The sequence below is a fragment of the Homo sapiens genome, chromosome 14, assembly GCF_000001405.40.
Source record: "Homo sapiens chromosome 14, GRCh38.p14 Primary Assembly".
In the NCBI taxonomy this organism is placed as follows: Eukaryota; Metazoa; Chordata; class Mammalia; order Primates; family Hominidae; genus Homo; species Homo sapiens.
Window position 1 is genome coordinate 39,109,338 of NC_000014.9, and position 27,971 is coordinate 39,137,308.

Consider the following 27,971-nt stretch of genomic DNA (forward strand, 5'->3'; position numbering starts at 1 on the left):
TCTTCTCTATTCCACAGAGTGCCCCAACAGTGATATACTCCAATATCTCTTCATTCTGTCACTCTGACCAATCCCAGAATTTAAGAGTTAATTTTATAAAACTAAACAAATGAGGGGCCTGGCCCAGTGGCTTACATCTGTAATCCCAGCACTTTGGGAGGCCGAGGCAGGCGGATCATGAGGTCAGGAGATCGAGACCATCCTGGCTAACACAGTGAAACCCCGTCTCTACTAAAAATACAAAAATTAGCCGGGCATGGTGACATGCGCCTGTAATCCCAGCTACTCCGGAGGCTGAGGAAGGAGAACGGCGTGAACCCGGAGGCGGAGCTTGCAGTGAGCCGAGATCGCGTCACTGCACTCCAGCCTGGGCAAAAGAACGAGACTCGTCTCAAAAAAAAACCTAAACAAATGAAATTTGTTGATTTGCCCTTAAACCATTTACAGTGGCCCAAAGAAAACATGAATATCTACTGGCATATTTATTTTTCTTTTTATCTTTTATTTATTTGATTTGTAAAGAACATGAGTAATTTAAAAGCCATATAACAAAGGAGGGAAATCCCACTCTAAAACGGAACAGATTTGCATTTTTACTTCAAAAGAGGAGTAAAGTTTTTGTTTCATGTTCCATAATTAAACTAGACCTTGTCTTGATTTTCTGACATCAAGTCAGCATTCTCTCTTAGTGGCTCTGGACCTCAGAGCCAGAGGATAGCATTCTCAGACAACGGAGACAAGGAGACTACTCATGCCTAGATGGCAATGTACTAAGACTAGGAAGCAAACTGGATCTCTCCGCATTTAGTCTTCATTGCCTCTCTCTAATTTATGGCCAGTGGATCATAAAGACTCACAGGAACCTTCCCTGGGACTTGTCTTTTTTTGTTGTTTTTTTTTGTTGTTACTAATCTTTACTCAGCTGTATCTTGTGCAGCATAGAGATTTAGAGCAATGGCTTGGCGCCCAGGATAGAATCTCAATTCCATTACTTCCTTGTTGTATGATCTGGGCATGTTGCACAGTTTCTTCACCTGCAAATGAAGATAACAATACTACCACTTAAATGGCCATGTATTGTGAAGACTAAACGAGATAATCCATGTAAAAGATTTAGCCCTGAGAAAGAGAAAAACAGCGCCGGAGGGCTGGAATGTGGCGAAACCCTGTGTCTCCTAAAAATACAAAAATTAGCCAGGTGTGGTGGCCTCAGAAGGCTGAGGCACAAGACTCGCTCAAACACAGGAGAGGCGGAGGTTGCTGTGAGCAAAGATCGCAACTACACTGCAGCCTGGGCAACAGGGCGACAGAGCAAGATTCTGTCTCAAAAAAAAAAAATCCCACCTAGAATGCCTTTTAAAATGTCAGTTTCTTAGCCCCACACCCCATCAACAGAAACAGAAGCTCTGGAAGAAATAGCTGTAAAATACAGGATTCCATATTTTAAATAATTTCTTCCAGTTTTTTTTTTTTTTTGGAGACTGAGTCTCACTCCATCGCCCAGGCTGGAGTACAGTGGTGCTATCTCGGCTCACTGCAACCTCTGCCTCCTGGGTTCAAGCAATTCTCCCACCTCAGCCTCCCAAGTAGCTGGGATTACAGGTGCACGCCACCATGCCCAGCTAATTTTTTGTATTTTTAGTAGAGACAGGGGTCTCACCATGATGGCCACGCTGATCTCAAACTCCTGATTTCAAGTGATCCACCTGCCTTGGCCTCCCAAAGTGCTGGGATTACAGGTGTGAGCCACCACGTCCAGCCGGATGACTCTTATACACACTAACATTTGAGAATAACTGAGCCACTTAAAGGGATAGAAAACACAGAGACATGGGAGGCTGAAGCAGCTAGATCATCTGAGGTCAGGAGTTTAAGACCAGCCTGGCCAACATGACAAAACCCGTCTCTACTAAAAATAAAAAAATTAGCCGGGCATGGTGGTGGGTGCCTATAATCCCAGCTCCTCAGGAGGCTGAGGCAGGAGAATCACTTGAACCCGGGAGGCACAGGTGGCAGTGAGCAGTACCACTGCACTCCAGCCTGGGTGACAGAGCGAGACTCCGTCTCAAAAAAAAAAAAAAAAAAAGGAAAATAATAAAAGAAAAGAAAACACAGAGACAGAGATAAACTGTAGTTGGCTGTGTAAGGTTGACTTAACAGATGCCTCCATCATCAATAAACAGCCACATCATCAATAAACACACAACAGAATGTTCTGTTCTCACAATCGTCATGTAACTCCTACAGCTAACCAATCGTGTGAGAAATACTGAAACAAGAATTTTTCCATCATAAACTAAAAACCGGCGATAAATCTCTAAAAACAGGGCACCAGAAGTAGTTCAGTACCTTAGGAATATTTCTTCCTGGGAATAGATGAAATGTTATTGTAGTTTCAGAAGTTCACCTTTCCAAATAGCGTTTTTTCAGAATAACTTCATCAACCAAATATAACTTATCTCATGTGTTCCATATTTCACTGAAGCATTAAAAAATACTTAGTGCAATTTCTGAAAACTTCACTCAAAAAATCATTACTAATTCTTTTAAATAAAATTAGATTTGAAGTAGCACGAAGCTATATTATTACCTCTTCTTTTGGAAAATAATTTATTATTATTTCCCAGGACAACCTTTGTTCCATTCTCCTATTGTCTCCTTTCTTCCTTAATCCATGCATAGTTCTGACACATACTTATGCACAAACTCCAATGTTAGCCATTGTTCCATTGGTAGTTGATTGGCAAGGTAACCTTTTCTCCAGAAAAAAATTGAAAGAAAATGCTAATAATTTACAGTAAAAAATAAAAATTAAAAAAAATGTATTTGTGGCCTGGCCCAGTGGCTCACACCTGTAATCCCAGCACTTTGGTAGGCCAAGGTGAGTGGATCACTTGAGCCCGGGAGGTCAAGGCTGGGTAATATTTTATTTTATTTTATTTTATTTTATTTTTTTGAGATGGAGTTTTGCTCTTGTTGCCCAGGCTGGAGTGCAATGGCACAATCTGGGCTCCCTGCCACCTCCGCCTCCTGGATTCAAGCGATTCTCCTGCCTCAGGCTCCCAAGTAGCTGGGATTACAGGCGCCCACCACCATGCCCAGGTAGTATTTTGTATTTTTACCAAAGACGGGGTTTCACCATGTTGGCCAGGCTGGTCTCGAACTCCTGACCTCAAGTGATGTGCCCAGCTCGGCCTCCCAAAGTGGTGGGATTACAGGCATGAGCCACTGCGCCTGGCCAAGATTCTTTACGGATGCAAAATTTCCTCCACAAAGAACAGCTTTGCAGGGCCATTTCAAAATACGGCAAAGAAACATGTTTTGGGGTCAAATATTTTTATTTTCTTCTTTGTCTCGTAATGTCATTTCGAAGTGAGGTTGAAAAGTAAATCGTGATATATAGGGTTAAATAAAACCCATCTGATGAGAATTTATGATTTGTAGGGCATGACTCCCCAGACCCCTTAGATAGGAATTTGGGCAAAATAAAAAAATCAGGCCGGGCGCGGTGGCTCATGCCTGTAATCCCAGCACTTTGGGAGGCCGAGGCGGGTGGATCACGAGGTCAGGAGATCGACATCATCCTGGCTAACAAGGTGAAACCCCGTCTCTACTAAAAATACAATAAATTAGCCGGGCGTGGTGGCGAGTGCCTGTAGTCCCGGCGGCTACTCGGGAGCCTGAGGCAGGAGAATGGCGTGAACCCGGGAGGCGGAGCTTGCAGTGAGCCGAGATTGCGCCACTGCACTCCAGACTGGGCGACAGAGCGAGACTCCGTCTCAAAAAAAAAAAAAAAAAAATTCAGTTTAGTCCTCACGTCACTACTTACTTTTTCAAATTTGTCCTTGATTATCACCAAAATGTTGGACGACAGGAGTATTTCTCCCTATTCTAAGTCTGTTTTTCCCAAAACCAGTGAAAATTTGTTAACCAAATAACTGTAGTTTGCAGCCAGGTGATATCTTTCCAAGTGTCCCAATTGTTTAGTTACAGTTCCTAAGCATTAAGTACTTAAATAAGCTAAGGACTATCCTCACTTTATCTTCAATTTAGACTTACATCCTGGTTTGAAATCAATTCCTTGCAAACTAAAGGCAGTGCCATAAATAAAAATTTTTAACCTTCTAAAATAAACATCAGTGTTAGAAAATAAGTCAATTGTATTCACTCAATTGTATTTGTTTAGAAATAATCAGATATTATACTTGTTTCTTGCACATTCTTGCCTTGTTTCCTCACCTATGAAATGGAGATAATAATACTATCTACCTAACAAGATTGACCTAACATTTTTGTTAATTTCTGGGTGTTAGCATTAGTTTCATTTTTTTCACTATTTGTATTTAAACGAAGAGATTTTTCTTTAAAACAAAAATTAAAAAGTGCTGGCTATTCTAGGAGTAATATTCATTCCAAATAAACATACAGTGATCTTTGAAGTGGTCAAGCACTAGAAATTTCTGTAGAAAATTAATTTTTCATTCATTTGGCATCGCATAAATCTAGGTTGGAATTGGTTCTTCCTCTTTGGAAGGTCAGTCCCTGCCCTAAGAGAGCGGTATATTACCACCCACTTCACAAGACTGTTCTAAGAATCAAATGAGAAAATGTGTTTATGAAGAGTTTAAGAATTTAGAGCTCCATGAATGATAATTACAGTAATATTGTTCATTAATTCAAAAAACATTTTTAAGGATCCCTCACTACTAGGGATGCATAAAAGTTGCTAACCCTCGGCCTTTACCCAGCGTTAGAAGACAAAACAGAGGGTAAAAGTCCCAGAAACGCGTTCGAACCAATTCAGCTAGGAATTAAATTCTCAGATCCTTTATTACACCACCGGAGCCTTAACCTTGAGGCAAGCAGCAATTTGTTCATGCGCAGTTAACGCTCCCTAAACTGCCACTTGCTCAGCTCCGCGCCTAAGGTGTCTATTAGTACGCCTGCGCTGTGACCTAGAATGGGCGCATGCGCCGAGCGGAACTGGCTGGTTTGAAAACCATGGCGTGGGTACCAGCGGAGTCCGCAGTGGAAGAGTTGATGCCTCGGCTATTGCCGGTAGAGCCTTGCGACTTGACGGAAGGTTTCGATCCCTCGGTACCCCCGAGGACGCCTCAGGAATACCTGAGGCGGGTCCAGTGAGTGATTCGGCCCTGGGCGGGTGGGCTGGTCTTCTGCCCTGCCCCTGGGTACAGCCCTCGGTGCTCTATTCCCGTTCCAGTCTGTTGCGAGTTCAGGTCTATTCAGGATTCTGGATTACATCCTAACGTGGGCGAGTTTCTGTTGAACGTGATTGCACGTATCAAGATGTGTGCTCTTAGATTTGTTTTCAATCCAGATAATTTCAGAAATACATTGTTTAGTACCTCAATTGGAAGTCTGAATTTTTTTCTGATTTCACAATGAACTGTGGAAGTGGATCGCTTGTTTTACTACACCTGAGCAAAGCACAACAGAAATTTAATTTATCGCGTTTATTACTTATTTGTAGGATCGAAGCAGCTCAATGTCCAGATGTTGTGGTAGCTCAAATTGACCCAAAGAAGTTGAAAAGGAAGCAAAGTGTGAATATTTCTGTGAGTTTTATTAACCGTCTGGAGATTACCCCCAACCCCCCAATTAAAAGACTAACGCTCTTCCTATAGTATCTGACAGCATCAATTATGACGTAAGATTTGACTACTCCGTGCAAAGTTAGACATTCGCTTGTACTTTTTCCTTCAGAAAGACAATTGGCATTTACTGCCTCTAAAGAGGCTTTCTGTAACTCTAGCCTTTGTGGAGTGTTGCCCATCTTACTTCAGGACATTATCCAGTCCTTTCAAAGGAGTCTTTAAATGGGTTACTTATGTTATCTTTTATTTTTTGCTTGTTTGTTTGTTTATAGAGAGGGAGTCTCTGTTGCCAGCTGGTCTGGAACTCCTGGCCTCAAGTGATCCTCCCTCCTCTGCCACCCAAAGCGTTGGGATCACAGGCGTGAGCCACCTCACCTGGCCCCTTTATTTTTTAAGGAACTTTTTCCAGTTATTGGATTGGTGTTTAATCTTAGTGTGCTTTGCATGTTCTGAATTTGACCAAGTTTCACTTTTTTTAAGAATAGAAACCCAGATGTCTTACACTTTTTTTTTTTTTTTTTTTGAGACAGTTTCACTCTTGTTGCCCAGGCTGCAGTGCAGTGGTGCGATCTCAGCTCACTGCAACCTCTGCCTTCCGGTTTCAAGCGATTACCGTGCCTCAGCCTCCCGAGTAGCTGGGATTACAGGCGCCCACCACCACACCCGGCTAATTTTTGTATTTTTAGTAGAGACGGGGTTTCACCATGTTGTCCAGTCTGGTCTTGAACTCCTGACCTCGTGATGCGCCCACCTCTGCCTCCCAAACTGCTGGGATTACAGGTGTGAGCCACCATACCCGGCCTTACACTTTTATAGCTACTTGCACACTCTGGACATTTTCATTTATTTATTTATCCAGCACATCTTTAATTAAGCAACTAGGTTGTGCCGGGCATTGGGAATTCAACAGAGGGTAAGACAAAAAAGGTTCCTACCCTTGTAGAGTTTACATACCCTCCTGAGGAAGACAGAGAGTAAACAAGCAAACAAATAATTACATATTGTGATTATTGCTATGAAGAAAATAAGCATGTATAATAATCAATAAATGACAGAACTACTGTAGAGGAATCATAGAAGGGCTCTCTTTTTCCCCCTTTTTTTTTTGCGTCTCAATTTTTCGCCCAGGCTGGAGTGCAGTGGCACAATCTCAGCTCATCACAACCTCTGCCTCTCAGGTTCAAGAGCTTCTCTTGCCTCAGCCCCCTGAGTAGCTAGGATTACAGGCGTGTGCCACCACACCTGACTAATTTTTGTATTTTTAGTAGAGACGTGGTTTTACCATGTTGGCCAGGCTGGTCTCAAACTCCTGACCTGAAGTGATCTGCCTGCCTCTGCCTCCTAAAGTGCTGGGATTACAGATGTGAGCCACCACGCCTGGCCAGCAAAGGTCTCTCTAAGGAGGTGCTATTTAACCTAAGCTCAAAGGAGGGTGGCATTTTATTTTATTTCTTTTTCTTTTTTTTTTTTTTTTGAGATGGAGTCTCAGAGTCTCGCTCTGTCGCCCAGGCTGGAGTGCAGTGGCGCGATCTCGGCTCACTGCAACCTCTGCCTCCCGGGTTCACACCATTCTCCTGCCTCAGCCTCCCGAGTAGCTGGGACTACAGGCGCCTGGGAGAGTGGCATTTTAAATAGTTGATAGTAATTTCCTTTTCATGCTCAAAGTAGTTTCTCTGATACTTGTAATCAGGAAATTTTAATTCAGACACTGTAATTTTTCCTATAATTCCTCTTCAGGGTTTTTTAGTTGATGGACATTTAATGGAACAGAATGTCTTAATATACCTAATTTGATGGATTGATTGATTGATTGATTGAGACAGGGTCTCGCTTTGTTGCACAGGCCAGAGTACAGTGCCACGATCATAGCTCACTGCAGCCTCGAGTTCTTGGGCTCAAGCCATCCTCCCACCTCAGTCTCCCCAGTAGCTGAGATGACAAGCATGTGCCACCGTGCCCAGCTAATTGTATTTTTTGTAGCGACGGGGTCTTGATATGTTGCTCAGGCTGTATGTGCTCTTTTAGAAAACAGAAGTATGGCTGGGCTTAGTGGCTCACACCTGTAATCCCAGCACTTTGGGAGGCCAAGTCAGGCGGATCACCTGAGGTGGGGAGTTCAAGACCAGCCCGACCAACATGGAGAAACCCCATCTCTACTAAAAATACAAAATTAGCCGGGTGTGGTGGCACATGCCTGTAATCCCAGCTACTCGGGAGGCTGAGGCAGGAGAATTGCTTGAACCCGGGAGACGGAGATTGCAGTGAGCTGAGATGGCCATTGCACTCCAGCCTGAGCAACAGGAGCGAAACTCCGTCTCAAAAAAAAAAAAAAAGAAAACAGAAGTAGACAATTTAAAGTTAAGCGTCTTTAAGTACATTTTGCCCATACCAAAGTTCTTATTTTTAATTTTATTGATACATAATAATCATAATTTCATGCTTTATCACGCAGGCACAATAATAATTGTACATATTTATGGAGTATATGTGATATTTTGATACATGCATACAATGTATAATAATCAGTAATTAGGATAGCCATCACCTCATTTATCATTTCTTTCTTTTGGGAACATTCAAATCTTCTAGCTGTTTTGAAATATACAATAAATTATTGTTAACTGTAGTCACTCTACTGTGCTATTGAATGCTAGAACTCATTCCTTCTAACTGTATTTCATACCAGAATTCTTTATTTGTGGTATATCTCTCTTTTTGTTTCTGTTTTGCTATTCTAGAAAGGCAGGTAGGGCTAGATCATATTCTCCAGGCTCATGTCATTTAGATTTCATAGAAACTCCAACTATAAACCTTTCCAGATTTCTCTGATTAAGGTGACTAAGGCTCTTTCCCTAATATTTTTAACTGAGATATAAATAATAAAGTGAAATGCCTACTTTTTTACATCTGCAAAAATATTTTATTTTCTTGTATAATCTTTATTTTATTATACACTTTATCTTGGTTTTACTTTTGCTTTGCAGAGGCATGAGATTCTAGTTTTGACACTAATGTTGATCCTAATATTTGTGAACTTGATCTCTAGCTTTCAGGATGCCAACCCGCCCCTGAAGGTTATTCCCCAACACTTCAATGGCAACAGCAACAAGTGGCACAGTTTTCAACTGTTCGACAGGTAAGTGTCATATTTAATCTAATTAAGCCCCTGTTGGATTTATTTCTGTTCTTAGACTGTAGCTGGAAAAATAAAATTTATGATCCTAAAGTATACAGAATATTCATGAATTAATTACCAAATTATTTTTATAATCATTAGACATGATACAGTTTGAAATATTTTCTAAGTTTTGTTTATTTTTATTTGTTTGTTTATTTATTTCAATAGTTTTGGGGAACAGGTGGTTTTTGGTTACATGGATAAGTTCTTTAGTGGTGATTTCTGAGATTTTGGTGCACTTGTCACCCAAGTAGTGTACTCTGTACCCAATACATGGTCTTTTACATCTCACCCCCTCCCACCTTTCCCATTTTTCAAGTTTTAGATGGTTACAATTTTGTGCAGAAACTGATTTCAGTTATCCATTTTTTGAAGAGTACCATCTAATGTCTAAGTTTTCTTCCTTTAGAATGTGAACAAACATAGAAGTCACTGGAAATCACAACAGTTGGATAGTAATGTGACAATGGTATGTAAGTTTCTCAGTTTTAAGATGTACAATGTATACCTGATTGAAAGAGTCTATATTTACTTCCAGTCGTTAAAGATTCACTTGCCTAGTCAGTGTTACTTTCATTCTCTTCAATATACCATTAATAGTAACAATTCATTACATTAGTAGCCTGGAAAGTATAGATTTTCATGACAAATTTTTTTTTTTTTTTTTTTTGAGACAGGGTCTTGCTCTGTCTCCCAGGCTAGAGTGCAGTCATGGCTCACTGCAGCCTTGACCTCCTGGGCTCAAGTGATCCTCCCACCACCGCCTTCCAAGTAGCTCGAACTTAAGGCATATACCACCATGCCCAGCTAATTGTTAAAATTTTTTGTAGAGACAAGGTCTCCCTGTGTTACCCAGGCTGGTCTCTTACTCCTGGGCTCAAGTGATCCTCCTGCCCTAGCCTCCCCGAGTGCTGGATTACAGGCATGAGCTACTGTACCCAGCCTTTCATGTCAATTTTAATTCACAATATCTTGGGGGACTTTGGATAGGTGACTGTGAAACTTCCACAAGTTTTTAAGGATTCTTCTAGACATTTACTTTCTAGGAAATAAATACATTTTCAATATTTACAAAAAAAATTGAATAAAGCCTTAATGGATTTTCCTGATGAGGTGATGGTGCCATGCAGTAAACTCACATGTTTACAGAACTTGTGAATGGATTCTGCTTCTGCTTAATGTGATGAGTCTGTGTCACAATTCCAGTGACATATAAGTGAAACCTGTCATGTATATTGTCATGCATATGTCCTATATTTTATCAGTTTAGATATAACTTTAAGCCCTTTAGTAGATATATCAGGACTACCAAATGAAAAAAGGAGTTGGAAAGATGATACATTGTCTCAGGACAGTAGTTTTTAACCTTTTAGGGGACTTCATATTCTTTCGTAGAATCTAATGAAAGCTATTTATCTTCAGAGGGAAAAAAAATGCACCTATGCACAACATTTTAGTTTCAGGTAGTTCATAGATTTTAGATTTTAGAAGCTTCCTTTAGGCAGTGCTTCCTGATATCTTTTACATGGTGACACATTAGAATAAATGACTGCTTGCATATTCTTCCTGAAACCAGCCGAAAGCTGAGAGATTCAGTATATGGCATCTCTGTATGCTTCTGCATACCATTTGGAAGCTCTGCTCCAGGAAAAGCGTGAAGGGAAGTAACTTATCACTTGCCAATGGTCATTTAACTTGTAAAAGGTATAGCTAGTCCTTCTATCAAAGAAGCATGCGCACATAAACACACAAAAGGTATGCTTAAGGTTCAAACCCAAGTTGGTCTGTCTCTAAAGCCTGTGTGCCTTTGACTATGCAATGGTGCCTTCCTAGTACCAAGGATGTATGTATGTAGTAGGGACAGGGCTAGGTAGGTAAATATATTTTTTTTCTTACTTAGCGGAAGGCCTTTTGGGTGCATGCCCACTAACTAAAAAAGAAGCCACATCAGTAACATTATGACTTGATAAAATTTTGTCAAAAATGGAAATGACCTAACATAATTGATTCAATAAACTATGGTCCATCAGAACAGTGGAATATTATGTAGCAATTTTAAGTGTTTGTCATGGCAAATGCAAACATCATATAAGTAATAAAATGAAAATGTTTTAAAGTACACTCTGAGCCAGGCACAGTGGCTCATGCCTATAATCCCAGCACTTTGGGAGGCTGAGGTGGGCAGATCACCTGAGCTCAGGAGTTCGAGACCAGCCTGGGCAACATGGCAAAACCCTGTCTCTATTTAAATTATTTAAAAAATAAAGTACACTGTGATGGCAACTGTGTGAAAACATAAACATTTGTTTATTAATTGATCCAATAATTTAAGCATGTGCTATATTTAATAATCAGGATATTCAGTACTAACTGAAACAGAAACAGCTTCTGACCTAATAGAGTGTTAGGAAAAGGTAGATAACCTTATTCCAAGACAATAGGGTTTAACTTTGTAGTGGTCTCATGTTCATCGTGAGGTTTTATTTTATTTTATTTTATTTTATTTATTTTTTTGAGATGGAGTTTTGCTCTTGTTGCCCAGTCTGGAGTGCAGTGGCACAATCTTGGCTCACTGCAACCTCTGTCTCTTGGATTCAAGCAATTCTCCTGCCTCAGCCTCCCAAGTAGCTGGGATTACAGGTGCCTGCCACCACACCCAGCTAATTTTTGTATTTTTAGTAGAGACGGGGTTTCACCATATTTCCAGGCTAGTCTCGAACTCCTGACCTCAGGTGATTCATCCTAAGGATTTAATGAAAGCTACTTATCCCTAGGGGGAAAATGCACCTATGCAAAGTAATATACAAGGTGATATGTACAAACAAAGGTTATTTTGTTAAGGAGGTTATATTGAGCTGAATGCTTCTCCCAAATAGTCCTGCGTCCTGCTTTTTCTGTCTGGCAGCATGAGTAGATCTGTTTCTTCTTTGACTGGACAACCCTTCAAATATGTGAAATATGTAATCATGTCTCTTTACATGGGATAAATATCCTTCATTCTATTAAGTGTTCTTGGTGCATTTTTTCCCCCATACTTATTTCTGTCTTTATCATCCTCTTTTGGACACACCATTGTCTGTCAGTGTCCACTAAAGTCTTGTCCAAACTAAACACATCTTGGCTGGGCACAGTGGCTCACACTTGTAATCCCAGCACTTTGGGAAGCCAAAGCAGAAGAATTGCTTGAGGCCAGGAGTTTGAGACCAGCCTGGGCAACATAGTGAGACAACTATCTCTACAAAAAAAATTTAAAAATTATCAGGCATGGTGGCACATGCCTGTAGTCCCAGCTACTCAAGAGGCTGAGGTGGCAGAATTATTTGAGCCCGAGATTCAGGCTGCAATGAACTGTAATCACACCTCTGCACTCCAACTTGGGCGACAGAGCAAGACCCTGTCTCAAAAAATGTAATAATAAGGAAAAACAACATGTCCCACATATTGTGTAGCCACTTAGGCACTATGTTTGTCAGGGCTGCCATAACAGACTAGGTGGATTAAACAACAGAAATGTATTTATTTTCTCAGTCTTGAAGGCTGAAAGTCAAAGAACAAGGTGGCAGCAAGGTTGGTCTCTTTTTGTTTGTTTGTTTGTTTTTTGAGGCAGAGTTTCGCTCTTGTTGCCCAGGCTAGAGTGCAATGACGCAATCTCTGCTCACTGCAGCCTCCGCCTCCCAGGCTCGAGTGATTCTCCTGCCTCAGCCTCTGGGTAGCTGGGATTACAGGTGTGCACCACCACATCCGGCTAATTTTTTTTTTTTTTGTATTTTTAGTAGAGGTGGGGTTTTGCCATGTTGGCCAGGCTGGTCTTGAACTCCTGACTTCATGTGATCGCCTGCCTCGGCCTCCCAAAGTGCTGGGATTACAGGCGTGAACCACCGCACCCGGCCTAAGGTTGGTCTCTTCTGAGGCTTTTCTCCTTGGCTTGCATAGGGCCACCTTCTCCCTGTTTTCTCACGTGGTCTTTCCTCTGTGTGTGGGAGTCCCTGGTGTCTCTTTGTGAATCCAAATTTCCTCTTATAAGGACACTAGTAAGATTGGATTACGGCTCACCCTAATGGCCTCAATTTAAATTAATCACTTCTTTAAAGGCCCTGTCTCCAAATACAGTCACATTCTGAGGTACTGGAGTTTAAGGTTTTAACATACAAATTTGGGGGCAGAGATTCTCCCCATAACTGGCTCCGTATCTTTGGGTTGCGGTAATGGGAATATGGAAGGACTTAACTTCTTTTTTTTTACTGTTCAGTGTAAAAATTAATACACAGGAATAAATCAGTTTTTTTTTTTTTCTTTTAGCCAAAATCTGAAGATGAAGAAGGCTGGAAGAAATTTTGTCTGGGTGAAAAGTTATGTGCTGACGGGGCTGTTGGACCAGCCACAAATGAAAGTCCTGGAATAGATTATGTACAAGTAAGGGCTGTGTGGATAAACAGAACAAAAAGCATTTTAATTTTGGTGCACCACTTAATATAAGGGGTCAGCAAACTCTACCCTGGGCCAAGTCCAGTTCATGGCCTTTTTTATATCCATGAGCTAAGGATTGTTTTTAGGTTTTGAAAGAGTAAAAAAGAAACAAATAATATGTGGCTGAGACTTTATGTGGCCTGCAAAGCCTAAAATATTTGCTGTCTGACTCTTGATAGAAAATGTTTGCCAACCCAGACTTAGTTTATTAGCTCTTCAACCTAACAAAACAGCTTAGTTTCTGAAACAATTTACTGTGACTTTTTTTAGTTTGGCTTCATATCCCTTATGTTTGGCTTGGTAATCATTTTATGAGTTGGATAAGATTCATAGTTTTTTTAAATGATGAGGCATCAGGCAAACAGTGTTATGAGTAGCCAGGGAAAAAATGGAAATCGACACAATTAGATGCTTTAAAATGCATAATCACATCTATCACTTCATGGGCCTGTAAAAAATAAATCACATATTCTAAAGATGAAATGTTGAGGATATCTTTAAAATTCATGTGGCTGTAATCATAAGTTATGTAGACAACTCCTTGTCCTTCAGGATTTACCTGCCCCCAAGTTTGCAGGTGTTCCTTGAGAATCCAGTGCATGCCTCTGCATTAGCGCTTACTCCCTATAGCATGTAGTTCTTTTCAGTTCAACAGGTATTTATTATTTGCTATATGGTGCCACATTGTGTTTTTCACATTTAAAACTAATTTTTCCTAAAAATGTAAAAAGCCCCAAGAATCAATAAAAAGACCAAGAATCACCCCTCCCCTGCCCAAGAAAAAATAGCCAAAGGATATAGATACCTCACAGAAAGGAAATAAAATTATTCTTATATGACAAGATGCCAAAAATCACTTGTAATAGAAGTATAACATAACTATGCCAAGGTGCTATTTTTCAGGTAACATATTGGCCAAGAAAGTTTGATACACCATATTGACAAGAGCTGGGGAAACAAGCACTCTTAGACGTGGTACAGGAGTATAAATAGACTCAAATCTTAGGGAAGTTAATTTGGTACTCTTTCTATATAACCAATTGATCTTTTGGATGATATCCTTAACATATGCTACATTTCAAAAATAGCTATATATATATATATATATATATTTTTTTTTTTTTTTTTTTTTTTTTTTTTTGAGACAGGGTCTTCTTCCGTCATCCAGGCTGGAGTGCAGTAGTGCACTCATAGCTCATTACAGCTTCAACCTCCTGGGCTCAAGCAATCCTCCCACGTCAGCCTTCAACATACCAGGGGCAGCAGGCACCCACCACCACACCCAGCTAATTTTTAAATTTTTTGTAGCGATAAGTTTTTTAATTTTTTAAAAAAATTTTTTTGTAGAGAGAAGTTTTCACCATGTTGCAAGGTTGGCCTGAAACTCCTGGGCTCAGGCAATCCTCCTGCTGGGATTATAGGCATGAGCTATCATGGCTAGCCAAAAATGGTTTTTAATTTATAAAGAATTAAAACTTACTTATTTAGCTTATTTTCAGAGAATACATACAAGTAAAATACACCATGTTAAAAAAAACCCTTAAGGAAGTAAGCGTTTAATGTATATCCTCTTAAGTTTCTCACAAATCAGTGGTATTTTCATAATTAGCAATCACAGCCTCAGACTCCAAAGTAGACTTTTAAAAATTGAATCAAATTAGGTTTTAAAAATGTCATTCTAATTCAAGTGTCCTTAATTCTTGAAAATATTAGCTTTAGCTGAAGATTTTGAAATGGTGTATACAACATATTAATGTCATCTTATCAATGTTACAGTTTTATTGGATATACTTAATAAGTTAGTTTTTTCAAGTACTATCATGTAAAAAATTTTTAGTCTTTAACATTTTACTTACTAAAATCATACTTTATTTAAAAATTTACAAATTCAGACCAGGTGAGGTGGCTCATGCCTGTAATCACAGCACTTTGGGAGGCTCTGGCAGGTAGATCACTTGAGCTCAGGAGTTCCAGACCAACCTGGGCAACATGGCAAAACCTCATCTCTACCAAAAATACAAAAAAATTAGCTGGGCGTGTTGACATGCACCTGTGGTCCTAGCTACTCGTGAGGCTGAGGTGGGAGCATCACCTGAGCCCAGGAAGCAGAGGTTGCAGTGAGCCAAGATCGCGCCACTACACTCCAGCCTGGGTGACAGAGTGAGACCCCATCTAAAAAAAAAATTACATATTCAAAATTTAAGGCGTTATTTTCTTCCGCATTACAAACATAGTAGTTTCCGGAATGTCTCATTGTTATGGACAATGAAAGAATTTTCTTTTATTTGTTCTTTGTTTCTAAACAACAGTGTGGCAAGAAATTCACCAGTTTGAAAAAAAAAAATGAAGCTTATAATACCATTTAGTAAAATTCAGTCTCATTTTTTCTTTCAGATTGGTTTTCCTCCCTTGCTTAGTATTGTTAGCAGAATGAATCAGGTAAAATTAATAATAGAGATATATGCATTCTTTTGTTTGCATTGTGTGTGAAAGTATTTGAATTGTTAATACATATACTGAATTCTTACAGTATGCAAGACTTTGTCCTAAGCTCTTTAATGGTTCTTATTTAATCCTTACTACAACCCTCTATGGAGAGTTATTATTGATAACTACTTTTTATAGATGAGGAAACAGCATTTGAGGTTAAGTAACTTGCAGGTGGTTTTTCAGCAAGTAAATGGCAGTACTGAGATTCAGTGCCAGGTAGATCTAACTCCAGAGCTCATGCTCTGTCTTAATCATGGTGCTAGAGTATTCATTTCTGTAGCTTTCAGTTATAAGTCTTAGATTCTGGGGTTTGAATTAAATACAAGGTCCCTGACTTACAATGGTTCAGTTTAGGATTCCTTTTTTCCCACCATGCCTGGCTAATTTTTGTATTTTCAGTAGAGAGAGGATTTTGTCATGTTGGCCACGTTGGTCTCGAACTCCTGGCCTCAACTGATCCACCCACCTTGGCCTCCCAAAGTGCTGGAATTACAGGCATGAGCCACCATGCCCAGCCATTTTAGGAATTTTCAACTTTACAATGTGTTTATCAGCACATAACCCCATTGCAAGTTCAGGGGCATCTGTACTAAGGTTAGATTGCTATTTCTAGTTCTAGATGTCCTATACATTCTATTAAGATTGAAATATGGGCCGGGCGCGGTGGCTTATGCCTGTAATCCCGGCACTTTGGGAGGTCAAGGCAGGTGGATCACAAGGTCAGGAGTTCGAGACCAGCCTGGCCAACATGGTAAAACCCCATCTCTACTAAAAATACAAAAATTAGCTGGATGTGGAGGTGTGCACTTGTAATCCCAGCTATTTGGGAGGCTGAGGCAGGAGAATCGCTTGAACCTGGGAGGCAGAGGTTGCAGTGAGCCGAGATCGTGCCATTGCACTCCAGCCTGGGCGACAGGGCGAGACTCTGTCTCAAAAAAAAAAAAAAGAAAGATTGAAATATATGATTTCTTGGATCAAAAGGGAAGAATTATGGAGTTTGGTTCTTCAGTTTTTTAGGAGTAAGGACTCTTATTCATTTAAAAAGCAAATAAAAATTTAATTTTATCTTCACATAGCATTGGGTACCTTTGGAAGCCTTTTTTTTTTTTTTTGGCAGGGTCTCATTCTCTTGCCCATGCTGGAGTACAGTGATGTGATCTTGGCTCACTGCAGTCTTGTACTTTGGGGCTCAGGCAATCCTCCCACCTCAGCCTCCTGGTAGCTGGGACCACAGGCATGTGCTACCATGCCTGGCTAATTTTGTTTATTTTTGGTAGAGACAAGGTCTCACTGTGTTGTCCAGGCTGGTCTGGAACTCCTGAGCTCAAGCGATCCTCCCACCTCAGCCTCCCAAAGTGCTGGGAATACAGGTGTGAACCACTGGGCCCAGCCAACAATTTTTTTTGTGGGTGATATTCTCTTGGAAATAATACACAAGCTGACAGTGTTACTTAATCATTTGCATTAAGATATTGTAGCAGTCATACTAAATTCCATCAGTGTCATTTTTGTTGTAACCATCAACTGTATTTGAATAAACCAGAGATTATTTTCAAGAGTTTGATAAATCCATCTGTATAGTTTAAGAACAGATTTTTCTCCACCTAAATTTTTATTCAGATTTGTACTTTGATTTAATTTGAATTTAGAAATAAACTGATGGTTTTTTTGTTTTGTTTTGTTTTGTTTTGTTTTTTGAGAGGGAGTCTCGCTCTGTCGCCAGGCTGGAGTGCAGTGGCACAATCTTGGCTCACTGCAACCTCCACCTCCCAGGTTCAAGCAATTCCCCTGCCTCAGCCTCCCTAGTAGCTAGGACTACAGGCGCACACCATCACACCCAGCTAATTTTTTGTATTTTAGCAGGGATGGGGTTTACCGTGTTGGCCAGGATGGTCTTTGTCTCCCGACCTTGTGATCCACCCGCCTCAGCCTCCCAAAGTGCTGGGATTATAGGCATGAGCCCACCGCGCCTGGCCAACTGATGGTATTTTTACAAATACATCTTTTTTTTTTTTTTTTTTTGAGACAGAGTTTCGCCTTTTGCCCAGGCTGTACTGAAGCGGCAGGATCTCAGCTCACTGCAACCTCTGCCTCCTGGGTTCAAGCAGTTCTCCTGTCTCAGCCTCCCGAGTAGCTAGGATTACAGACCCCGCCACCATGCCTGGCTAATTTTTGTATTTTTAGTAGAGACGGGGTTTTGCCGTGTTGGCCAGGCTGGTCTCAAACTCCTGACCTCAGGTGTGCCATTGTTTTTTTTTTTTTTTTTTTTTTTTGAGACAGAGTCTCACTCTGTTGCCCAGGCTGGAGTGCAGTGGCAAAATCCTGGCTCACTGCAACCTCTGCCTCCCAGGTTCAAGGGATTCCCCGGCCTCAGCCTCCCTAGTAGCTGGGACTGCATTCACTCACCACCATGCCCGGCTAATTTTTGTATTTTTAGTAGAGATGGGGTTTCACCATGTTGGCCTGGCTGGTCTCAAACTGACATCAAGTGATCCACCTGCCTCGGCCTCCCAAAGTGCTGAGATTACTGGCAAGAGCCACTGAGCCTGGCCACAAATACATTTTCTTTTAACCTTGTGAAGTCTTTCAAGTAGTTACAAACTAAATTATTAATAGTTACAAACTAAATCCTAGGATTTAAACCAAGGTGTTAGTTGATATTTGAAAGTGTGAAAATATTTGTTTTAAAAGCCTCACTGGGGCTAGGCGCGGTGCCTCACACCTGTGATCGCAGCACTTTGGGAGGCCGAGGAGGGCGGATCACCTGAGGTCGAGAGTTCGACCAGCCTGACCAACATGCAGAAACCCTGTCTCTACTAAAAATACAAAAATTAGCCGGACGTGGTGGTGCACGCATGTAATCTCAGCTACTCAGGGGGCTGAGGCAGGAGAATTGCTTGAACCCGGGAGGCGGAGGTTGCAGTGAGCCAAGATCGCACCAGTGCGCTCCAGCCTGGGCAACAGAGTGAGACTCTATCTCAAAAAAAAAAAAAAAAAAAAAAAAAAGCCTCATTGGATAAGCCGCCTAATCAAACTAATTAGAGTCAAACAAATTAGCTTTCTTTGAAAGTTTAAAGAATGAGGCCATTTTTAACATCAGAGTTGCTTTCTAAATAAACTTAATGAAACTCATGTTGAATTCATGTTTTATTATTAATACAACTCTTCTCCACCCCCTCTTTTTTTTTTTAGGCAACAGTAACTAGTGTCTTGGAATATCTGAGTAATTGGTTTGGAGAAAGAGACTTTACTCCAGAATTGGTAGTATTGCATGTTTTTCTTTTCATAATGTAGGCAAAAATTAGACGTTTTGGGTCAACTGTGGGCCACATATACAATGGTGCTCCTATAGGATTATAATACTGTATTTTTACTGCACATTTTCTTTTTTTCTTTTCTTTTTTTTTTTTTTTTTTTTTTTGAGACAAGGTCTCGCTCTGTTACCCAGGCTGGGGTGCAGTATTACAATCATAGCTCACTGCAACCTTGATCTCCCCAGCTCAAGCAATCCTCCTGCCTCAATCTCCTGAGTAGCTGGGACTACAGGCGCATGCAGCCACGCCCAGTTTTTTTTGTTTTTTGTTTTTTGTTTTTTTTATTAGAGACAAGGTCTCACTGTGTTGTCCAGGCTGGTCTTGAACTGAGTCCAAATGATCCTGCCTCCTCACCCTCCCAAAATGCTGGGAATTACAGGCATGAGCCACCATGTGTGCGGCCTTTTGTGTTTTTTAAATAGAGACGAGGTCTCACCATGTTCCCCAGGCTGATCTCAGACTCCTAGGCTCAAGTGTTCTTCCCACCTTGGCCTCCCAAACTGTTTGGATTACAAGCATGAGCCACTGAGCCCGGCTCCTTTCCAGTATTTAAATATGTTTAGATCTGGCCAGGCACAGTGGCTCATGCCTGTAATCCCAACTACTAGGGAGGGCTGAGGCAGGAGGATCACCTAAGGCCAGGGAGGTTGAGGCTGCAGTGAGCCATGATTGTGCCACTGCACTGCACTCTAGCCTGAGTGACAGAGTGAGACCCTATCTTAAGAAATAAATATATGGTTTTTTTGGATGCACAAATGTTTACCATTATGTTACAGTTGCCTACAGTATTCAGTATAGTAATGTGCTATATAGGTTTGTAGCCTAGGAGCAATTGGCTATGCAATATAGTCTAGGTATAGTAGACTATACCATCTAGGTTTGTGTAAGTATACTCTATGATGTTCATCCAGGGTCAAAAATCACCTAACAATGCATTTCTCAGAATATATCTCCCTTCATTAAGTGATGCATGACTGTACTTGATGTGATGCTACGGTATTTATTTATTTTTTATTTATTTGTTTGTTTTGACATGGAATCTCCCTCTGTTGCCCAGGCTGGAGTGCAGTAGCGCGATCTCGGCTCACTGCAGCCTCCACCTCCTGGTTTCAAGTGATTCTCCTGCCTCAGCCTCCCAAGTAGCTGGGATTACAGGCACCTGCCACCACACCCAGCTAATTTTTGTATTTTTGTAGAGACAGGCTTTCTCCATGTTGGCCAGACTGGTCTTGAACTCATGACCTCAGGTGATCTGCCCGCCTCCACCTCTCAAAGTGTTGGAATTACAGGCGTGAGCCACTGCACCCAGCCAGTATTTATATTTATATTTATATTTGTATATGTGTGTGTGTGTGTATATACATATGTATAATCTGAACTATACTTGTTTGTAGTCAAATAAGAAACACTAGAATGTAAATCAACATACTACTTCCTTCATTGAGAAAGTCTTGGAGAAAAAAAGTCAATGAAAGAGTTGATGTATATCCTGGTACAAGGTACAAACTCCTTATCTCATTGCAGACAAGTTTGTTTTTTTTTTTTTTTTTTTTTTTTGAGATGGAGTCTCACTCTGTCACCCAGGCTGCAGTGCAGTGGTGCCATCTCGGCTCACTGCAACCTCTGCCTCCCAAGTTCAAGCAATCCTCCTGCCTCAGCCTCCTGAGTAGCTGGGACAAGTGTAGAGAATATTTAATTTAAATTAAATATTTAATTTAAATGCTAGCTTTACATAGTAAATGTATCCCTTAAAATTTGAGTCAAGTTGAAACATATAATTTTTTTTTATAGAAAAAGAATTCCACAATTTGTAAAAGAAACCTGGATTTGAATCTTTTTCTGTAAGAAAAAGTCTTAACTATTGATTTGAGTTTGCCTGAGGAACCCATTTAGTGTGTTGTATAAATTGCTATTTAAATTTTGTCCTAATATTTTTTAGGTTTCCCCGAAGTGATATGTTGCTTAGAATAAACAAAGTTGTATATACTACTGGTGGAAATACAAATTTGGTATAACCTTTCCAGGATACAATCTGGTGATCATATCTGAAAAACCTTGATGAATATACATACCCTTTGTCACCATTTTACTTGCAATACTTAATAAACTTTCCCCATGTTGTTAAATGAGATTAAACAAGGGAATGTTATTAAATACTCTAAACAAGACACTTAACATTCCCTTGTTAATCCCATTTAACTACAAGGGATGGCTGAGTGGGGTGGCTCACTCCTGTAATCCCAGCACTTAGGGAGGCCGAGGTGGGCGGATCACTTGAGGTCAGGAGTTCGACACCAGCCTGGCCAACATGGTGAAACCCCCATCTCTACTAAAAATACAAAAATTAGCTGAGCATGGTGGCGGGCGCCTGTTGTCCCAGCTACTCAGGAGGCTGAGGCAGGAGGATTGCTTGAACCTGGGAGGCAGAGGTTGCAGTGAGCCGAGATGGCACCACTGCACTCCAGCCTGGATGACAGAACGAGACTCCATCTCGAAAAAAAAAAGAAAAAGGACAAAAACAACATGGTAAACATTTTATTATGTATTATAAATAAAAAAGATGGCTACAAGATGATATTACAACTGATGAAATTGTATTGAAAAAAGGTTGTACAGCCGGGCATGGTGGCTCACGCCTGTAATCTCACCACTTTGGGAGGCTAAGGCAGGCAGATCACTTGAGGTCAGGAGTTCGAGACCAGCCTGAACAACATGGTGAAACCCGGTCTCTATTAAAAATACAAAATTAGCCGGGTGTGGTGGTACATGCCTGTAATTCCAGGTACTCAGGATGCTGAGACAGGAGAATTGCTTGAACCCGGGAGGCAGAGGTTGCAGTGAGCCGAGATCGCGCCATTGCACTCCAGCCTGGGCAACAAGAGTGAAACTCTGTCTCAAAAAAAAAGAAAGTTGTACATACGAATAGGAAAAACAAGAACATTTTTAAAGTGAATCAAAGTTTGATCTGGAATGTTGGGACTGCAGGTTTTTTCTTGTGCTTGTGGTATTCTTCACAGTTTTTCTGCATCAAATATGTATTCATTTTGTAGCTGAAAACCCCATTTTAAAAGGGAGTGGGGATACATTGAGCCTGTCAAAGTATTTATAAAAGTGTCAAAAGATTATTTCATCTGTAGTATAGTTTCTTTGTATGTCCCCAGAGGACAAAATTATACAATTATAAAATGATTTCTATATCTGTCCATACAGAACAAAGAAAAAAATGTATCTTAATTTTTTCCAGTATTTATATTCATCTTAATGTAGTGTTCTGCTTACAAATGAGAACTTCCTATCATAAGAATATCTGAAACAAACTCTTTGGAGATCAGGGAATATTTTGAGGTATCCAATGTCCTGTGTCTGTAATTATAGGATACAAGAGATAACACCTGGCTCTCCAAATGAGGCTTTCTTGTCTATACCCAAACATAATATAGTTAAATGTTCTATGAATTTATTCATAGCAGATAATCAGGCATAACATTGGACATTTAAAAAATAAACTTCTGGTTCAGTATTTGTCTAAATATTAATTTTTTGAATTTTTTTTTAGGGAAGATGGCTTTATGCTTTATTGGCTTGTCTTGAAAAGCCTTTGTTACCTGAGGCTCATTCACTGATTCGGCAGCTTGCAAGAAGGTGCTCTGAAGTGAGGCTCTTAGTGGTAAGTTGCAACTTACTGTTTAAAATTAAAAGCACCCACCAATTTATATGGTGGTAAAGAAGGAGTTCAGTGAAATAGGAAAACACATGGAATATTTTATTGGTGGCAATTAGATTTGTAAAGCCCAAAATAATAGTAGCTTAAATAATATGGAAATGTTTTCTGAGATAAAGAAGTCTGAGCCGGGCGTGGTGGCTCACACCTATAATCCCAGCACTTTGGGAGGCTGAGGCGGGTGGCTCACCTGAGGTCAGGAGTTTGAGACCAACCTGGCCCACATGGTGAAACCCCGTCTCTACTAAAAATACAAAATTTAGCTGGGTGTGGTGGTGGGTGCTTGTCATCCCAGCTACTCAGGAGGCTGAGGCAGGAGAATCGTTCGAACCCAGGAGGCGGAGGTTGCAGTGAGCTGAGATTGCACCACTGCACTCCTGCCTGGGCAACAGAGCAAGACTCTGTCTCAAAAAAGAAGTAGGTAAAAAAATTAGATTTTTACTAAGATGGCAGTAACCCACCCACACCTTTGAGTTTTGTCATATGTGGCTTTCATCCTCATGCTCATCTTATGATCCAAGATGGCTGCTGTAGCTTCAGCCTTTTTTTTTTTTTTTTTTTTTTCTTTTATTGTGAGATGGAGTCTCGCTCTGTCACCGAGGCTGGAGTGCAATGGTGCGGTCTCGGCTCACTGCAACCTCCGCTTCCCAGGTTCAAGCAATTCTCCTGCCTTAGCCTCCAGAGTAGCTGAGATTACAGGTGCCCGCCACCATGCCTGGCTAATTTTTGTATTTTTAGTAGAGACAGGGTTTCACCATGTTGGCCAGACTGGTCTCAAACTGCTGACTTCAAGTGATCCACCTGCCTCAGCCTCCCAAAGTGCTGGGATTACAGGCATGAGCTACTGCACCTGGTGTGTGTGTGTGTGTGTGTGTGTGTATATATATGTGTGTGTGTGTGTGTGTATATATATATATCTTTATATATATATCTTTATATAATTCAGTAATGAATATATATAAGAACAGTAAGAATCCTGTGTCTTGACTGTACAGTGATTAATATATATTATATATATTCATATATATTCTATATATATCCTCACATATATTGTATGCATTATATAGAGGAACAATAAGAATCCTGTGTCTTGACTACAGTGATAAATATATTTATTCATATATGTATATTAATATATATTTATTATATATGAATACATATTCACTACAGTTAAGACACATATATAATATATATGAATATATATATATATATTCATCACTGTACAGTTAAGACACAGGATTCTTATTGTTCCTTTAGTAGGAACCAGGGAAAAATTTCCCCCAAGTTATCCCCCTTAGATCCCTCTTTATTTTTTTTTCCCTATTCAGAATCTTTATTTAAAAGATAGTCTTAGATGTTTCTCAAGGAATCATTAACTCTACAGTTCTCTGCTTTTTCTTTGAGGGCTCCTATTTCCACATGATGATTACTGTCATATAATAAAGTTTTCATGTTTCGTGTTTTACATCTTAATAGAAAATTTATTTCAAAAGTAATAGGAACAGACAATATTTAAATTTTTCTTTTTTTTTTTTTAGGATAGCAAAGATGATGAGAGGGTTCCTGCTTTGAATTTATTAATCTGCTTGGTTAGCAGGTATAGTTAATCCTTGGCTTCTTTATTATTTATCAGTGAGGTCAGTGAGGTTAGATCGTATTTATTACATTTGGTTTTTGTTTGGTTGGTTTTTTTTTGAGTCTCACTCTGTTGCTATAGTTAGGGTGCAGTGGCGCAATCACAGCTCACTAGAGCTTTAACTTCCTGGGCTCCAGCAATCCTCCCACCTCAGCCTCCTGAGTAGCTAGGACCACAACCAAGCACCACCACACCTGGCTAATTAAAAAAAATTGTTCGTAGAGACAGGGTCTCACTATGTTGCCCAGGCTGGTCTCAAAACTCCTGGGCTCAAGCGATCCTCCCACCTAAGCCTCCGAAAGTGCAGGGATTACAGGTGTAAAGCCACTGCATTCAGCCTGCATTTTTGTTTAATTGCCTGTGTCCTGCGTTCATTTTCAGTTGTGGCATATTTTTATTTAGTATCTGTTTTATTTCATTTCTTACATAGAAATTCTTCTTGGAATTTATTTGAAAACTTTTTTTGTTGTTTTGTTTTGAGACAGAGTCTCGCTCTGTTGCCCAGGCTGGAGTGCAATGGCACCATCTCGGCTCACTACAACCTTCACCTCCTGGGTTCAAGCAATTCTCCCCCCTCAGCCTCCCAAGTAGCTGGGCTTACAGGCACCTGCCATCATGCCCGGCTAATTTTTGTAATTTTGTGGAGACGGAGTTTCACCATTATTGGCCAGGCAGTAAAACACACATATTTATTTTAGGTCTCCTCCTGGACATATTTTTGTTCCATAGATCAGTGTTTTTATTTCATTGCCAGTACCTTTTTAAAGCTTTATAATATACTTAAATATTGGGAAGGCAAGTAATCTTGTTTCCATATTTTCACATATTCAATATCTAGTTTCTTGATCTACAATAATTATGCTGCTGATGATAATTAACATTTACTGGGCAATTTGTGCCAAGCATTTTTCTTAGTGAGGAACCCATTTAATCCTTCTAAGGTGGGTACTGTTAACAGTTTACAGATGAGGAAACCATGGCAGAGAGAGGTTAAATAATATTACTACCATCACAAAGCTAGTAAGTGTTAGAGTAATGATCCAAACCCAGGCAACTTTGACTCCGGAGCTAAACTTTTAACTATGCTGATCAAAAATTAAGCTAATACCTACCTCATCTGTTGGTAGTAGCAGTTAAATGAGATGATATAGCATTGCCCTACTTACTTTATGTATAGTATCTCTACTCTTTACAATAGATCAGAGTTGTGTTTTTGTTTTTGTTTTTGTTTTAATAAATTTTTTCCTTTCAGCTCTGTTGGACTTGATTTTTTTCCTTTTACAGATAATGACACAGATTCAGAAAGGTTAAGTAATTGGTAGCTCAGCAAACCAGTAATTAATGAAACCTCAGACAAGTATAGTTTCTGACTGCCTCAGTTGAGATTTTACAGTATTATGCAATTATGAAAGCAAAAACATTCAAGTGTATTTTTTGCCCTCAAAAAGTTAGATAAAAATGGAAAAAGTTCTAGACTACAAAAGGTTCTGAAGCTAACAGCTTTACAATAGAAGACACAAAGATTTGAAAGTTTAGGAAAAAAAGGACCGGGCATGGTGGCTCATACCTGTAATCCCACCACTTTGGGAGGCCAAGGCGGGTGGATCACCTTAAGTCAGGAGTTCAAGACTAGCCTGGCCAACATGGTGAAACCTCGCCTCTACTAAAAATAGGAAAATTAGCCGGGCACGGTGGTTCACGCCTGTAATCCCAGCTACTCGGGATGGTGAGGCAGGAGAATCACTTGAACCTGGGAGGTGGAGGTTGCAGTGAGCTGAGATCGTGCCATTGCACTCCAGCCTGGGCAACAAGAACGAAACTCCATCTCAAAAAAAAAAGAAAAAAGAAAAAAAAAAGGAAAGCTGGGCACAGTGACTCACACCTGTAAGCCCAGTGCTTTGGGAGGTCAAGGTGGGAGGATTGCTTGAGTCCAGGGGTTCAAGAATGCAGTGAGCCATGACAAAATCTGATTAGTGATTTTCCTTTTTATTTAATCTTATAATTACATAAAATAGTTACCTTGCCAAAGTTAAAATTATAATTCAAGGTACATTTGGAGTATTTTAGCATCCATCTTTATCCTCATTATCCTCTTTTTTCCTTTCTCCTCTAGTTAACCATTGTATTACTAATTTTTGTTTCATCTTTTCATTCATTGTTTCTTTTTAAAAGTATAAGTAGGCCGCATGTGGTGGCTCAAGCCTGTAATTCCAGCACTTCGAGAGACTGAGGCTGGAGAATTGTTTGAGCCCAGGAGTTCAAGACCAGTCTGGGAAATGAGCCATGATCATGCCACTGCACTCCAGCCTGGGTGACAGAGTGAGACCTTGTCTCAAAAAGGAAAAGAAAAATATAAACAAACACGTATATTGGCAGTCCTACACATACTCACATAAGGTAGCATACAGAACAATCTGTTCTGTACTTCGTTTTTTTTCACTTAATAAATCCTGGAAATCATACTTTAGCAGTATAAATACGTTCCTCATACTTTAGCAGTATAAATATTTCCCTCATTTCTCTTTTTATGGCTTCATAATTTTCCACTATGTAGACATACTATAGCTTATTTAACCAGTTTCTTATTGATGGACGTTTGGGTTGCTTATGGTCTTTGGCTATTAAAAATAGTGCTACAGTTAATATCTTTATACATAAATTTTTTGTTTTTTTTTTACTAGGTATTTTGACCAACGTGATTTAGCTGATGAGCCATCTTGATGTAGCTGATCTCTCAGGGATAGAAGATATTTCTCATGAAGGCAGCCTAACTCTGAGGAAAACAATGCCAATTCAAGTACAGATTTCAACACATCTTCAACACTATGTGAAGGGTTCACATCTTAACCTGTGCAATTCAGATTGATACTCAGAATATGGGTTGATTTGAATATCTGAAATATCAATGGAAAATCCCACTCAGTTTTTGATGAACAGTTTGAACAGTTTTCTGTAATCAAGCAGCTTGCATAGAAATTGTATGATGAAATTTTACATAGGTTCTTGGTGCTGTTTTGTTCTTTTTTTGTTTTTTGTTGTTTTGTTATTTACTTATATACATATAAAATTTTATTGAAAATATGTTTTGGTTACTAAAATTTTGTTTGACTCCTAACAAAAGACAATGGATGGCCTTAGCATCAGAATTAAAATAATCTGGATTAAATGGCAATGTGTTCATAGTCAGCAATAAAATTAAACATTTTTCCCTTTAAGCTCAGCACTTTTTTTTTTTTTTTTTTTTTTTCTTTGAGATGGAGTCTCGCTCTGTCATCCAGGCTGGAGTGCAGTGGCAGGATCTCAGCTCACTGCAACCTCTGCCTCCCAGGTTCAAGTGATTCTCCTGCCCCAGGCTCCCGAGTAGCTGGATCTACAGGTGTCCGCCACCAAGCCTGGCTAATTTTTGTATTTTTAGTAGAAACAGGGTTTCACCATGCTGGCCAGGCTGCTCTTGAACTCCTGATCTCAGGTGATCCGCCCGCCTCAGCCTCCCAAAGTGCTGGGATTACAGGCATGAGCCACTGTGCCTGGCCTCAATATTTTTATTTTT

General features: G+C 40.0%; 1 protein-coding gene and 1 long non-coding RNA gene across 8 annotated transcripts, besides 2 other annotated features; one reads left to right on the forward strand and one right to left on the reverse strand.

The window, feature by feature from the left end:
- Positions 486 to 5,492, reverse strand: LOC105370459 (uncharacterized). 3 transcript variants are annotated; one of them, XR_943772.3, is made up of 4 exons: positions 3,830 to 4,723; positions 2,591 to 2,753; positions 2,350 to 2,479; positions 486 to 1,034 (listed from the first exon to the last, which is right to left on the reverse strand). It is a non-coding gene; the product is annotated as an uncharacterized LOC105370459 (long non-coding RNA). The 3 variants fall into 3 exon arrangements; XR_001750717.2 differs by lacking the exon at positions 3,830 to 4,723 and having other exon boundaries at positions 2,591 to 2,811; XR_943771.3 differs by lacking the exons at positions 2,350 to 2,479; positions 2,591 to 2,753; positions 3,830 to 4,723 and adding an exon at positions 5,125 to 5,492.
- Positions 1,448 to 1,965: an enhancer, noted in NCBI's record as "H3K27ac-H3K4me1 hESC enhancer chr14:39579989-39580506 (GRCh37/hg19 assembly coordinates)". NCBI's record gives its function as "activates a minimal SCP1, AML or CMV promoter by ChIP-STARR-seq in naive H9 embryonic stem cells {active_cell/tissue: H9 hESC(naive)}" and the evidence as "EXISTENCE:reporter gene assay evidence [ECO:0000049][PMID:30033119]".
- GEMIN2 (gem nuclear organelle associated protein 2) lies at positions 4,986 to 27,636 on the forward strand. 5 transcript variants are annotated; one of them, NM_003616.3, is made up of 10 exons: positions 4,986 to 5,138; positions 5,492 to 5,576; positions 8,662 to 8,751; positions 9,203 to 9,262; positions 13,093 to 13,206; positions 15,655 to 15,699; positions 18,943 to 19,011; positions 22,621 to 22,731; positions 24,324 to 24,382; positions 27,103 to 27,636. In NM_003616.3, exons 1-10 carry the CDS (start codon positions 5,002 to 5,004, stop codon positions 27,140 to 27,142), a joined length of 810 nt encoding a protein of 269 aa, NP_003607.2. In that variant the 5' UTR covers positions 4,986 to 5,001; the 3' UTR covers positions 27,143 to 27,636. The 5 variants fall into 5 exon arrangements, with proteins under 5 accessions (NP_003607.2, NP_001009183.2, NP_001009182.2 ...); NM_001009183.2 differs by lacking the exon at positions 24,324 to 24,382; NM_001009182.2 differs by lacking the exon at positions 15,655 to 15,699.
- Positions 5,046 to 5,265: an enhancer, noted in NCBI's record as "active region_8285". NCBI's record gives its function as "activates an Ori minimal core promoter by ATAC-STARR-seq in GM12878 lymphoblastoid cells {active_cell/tissue: GM12878}" and the evidence as "EXISTENCE:reporter gene assay evidence [ECO:0000049][PMID:35858748]".

What these genes read in the sequence shown, in the direction of transcription:
- GEMIN2 (NM_003616.3), top strand. Translation starts at nt 5,002, where the DNA reads ATGGCGTGGGTACCAGCGGAGTCCGCAGTGGAAGAGTTGATGCCTCGG. An exon ending in TTGTTAGCAGAATGAATCAG is followed by an intron (nt 15,700 to 18,942) that starts GTAAAATTAATA and finishes TTTTTTTTTTAG; the next exon opens with GCAACAGTAACTAGTGTCTT. An exon ending in GAGACTTTACTCCAGAATTG is followed by an intron (nt 19,012 to 22,620) that starts GTAGTATTGCAT and finishes ATTTTTTTTTAG; the next exon opens with GGAAGATGGCTTTATGCTTT.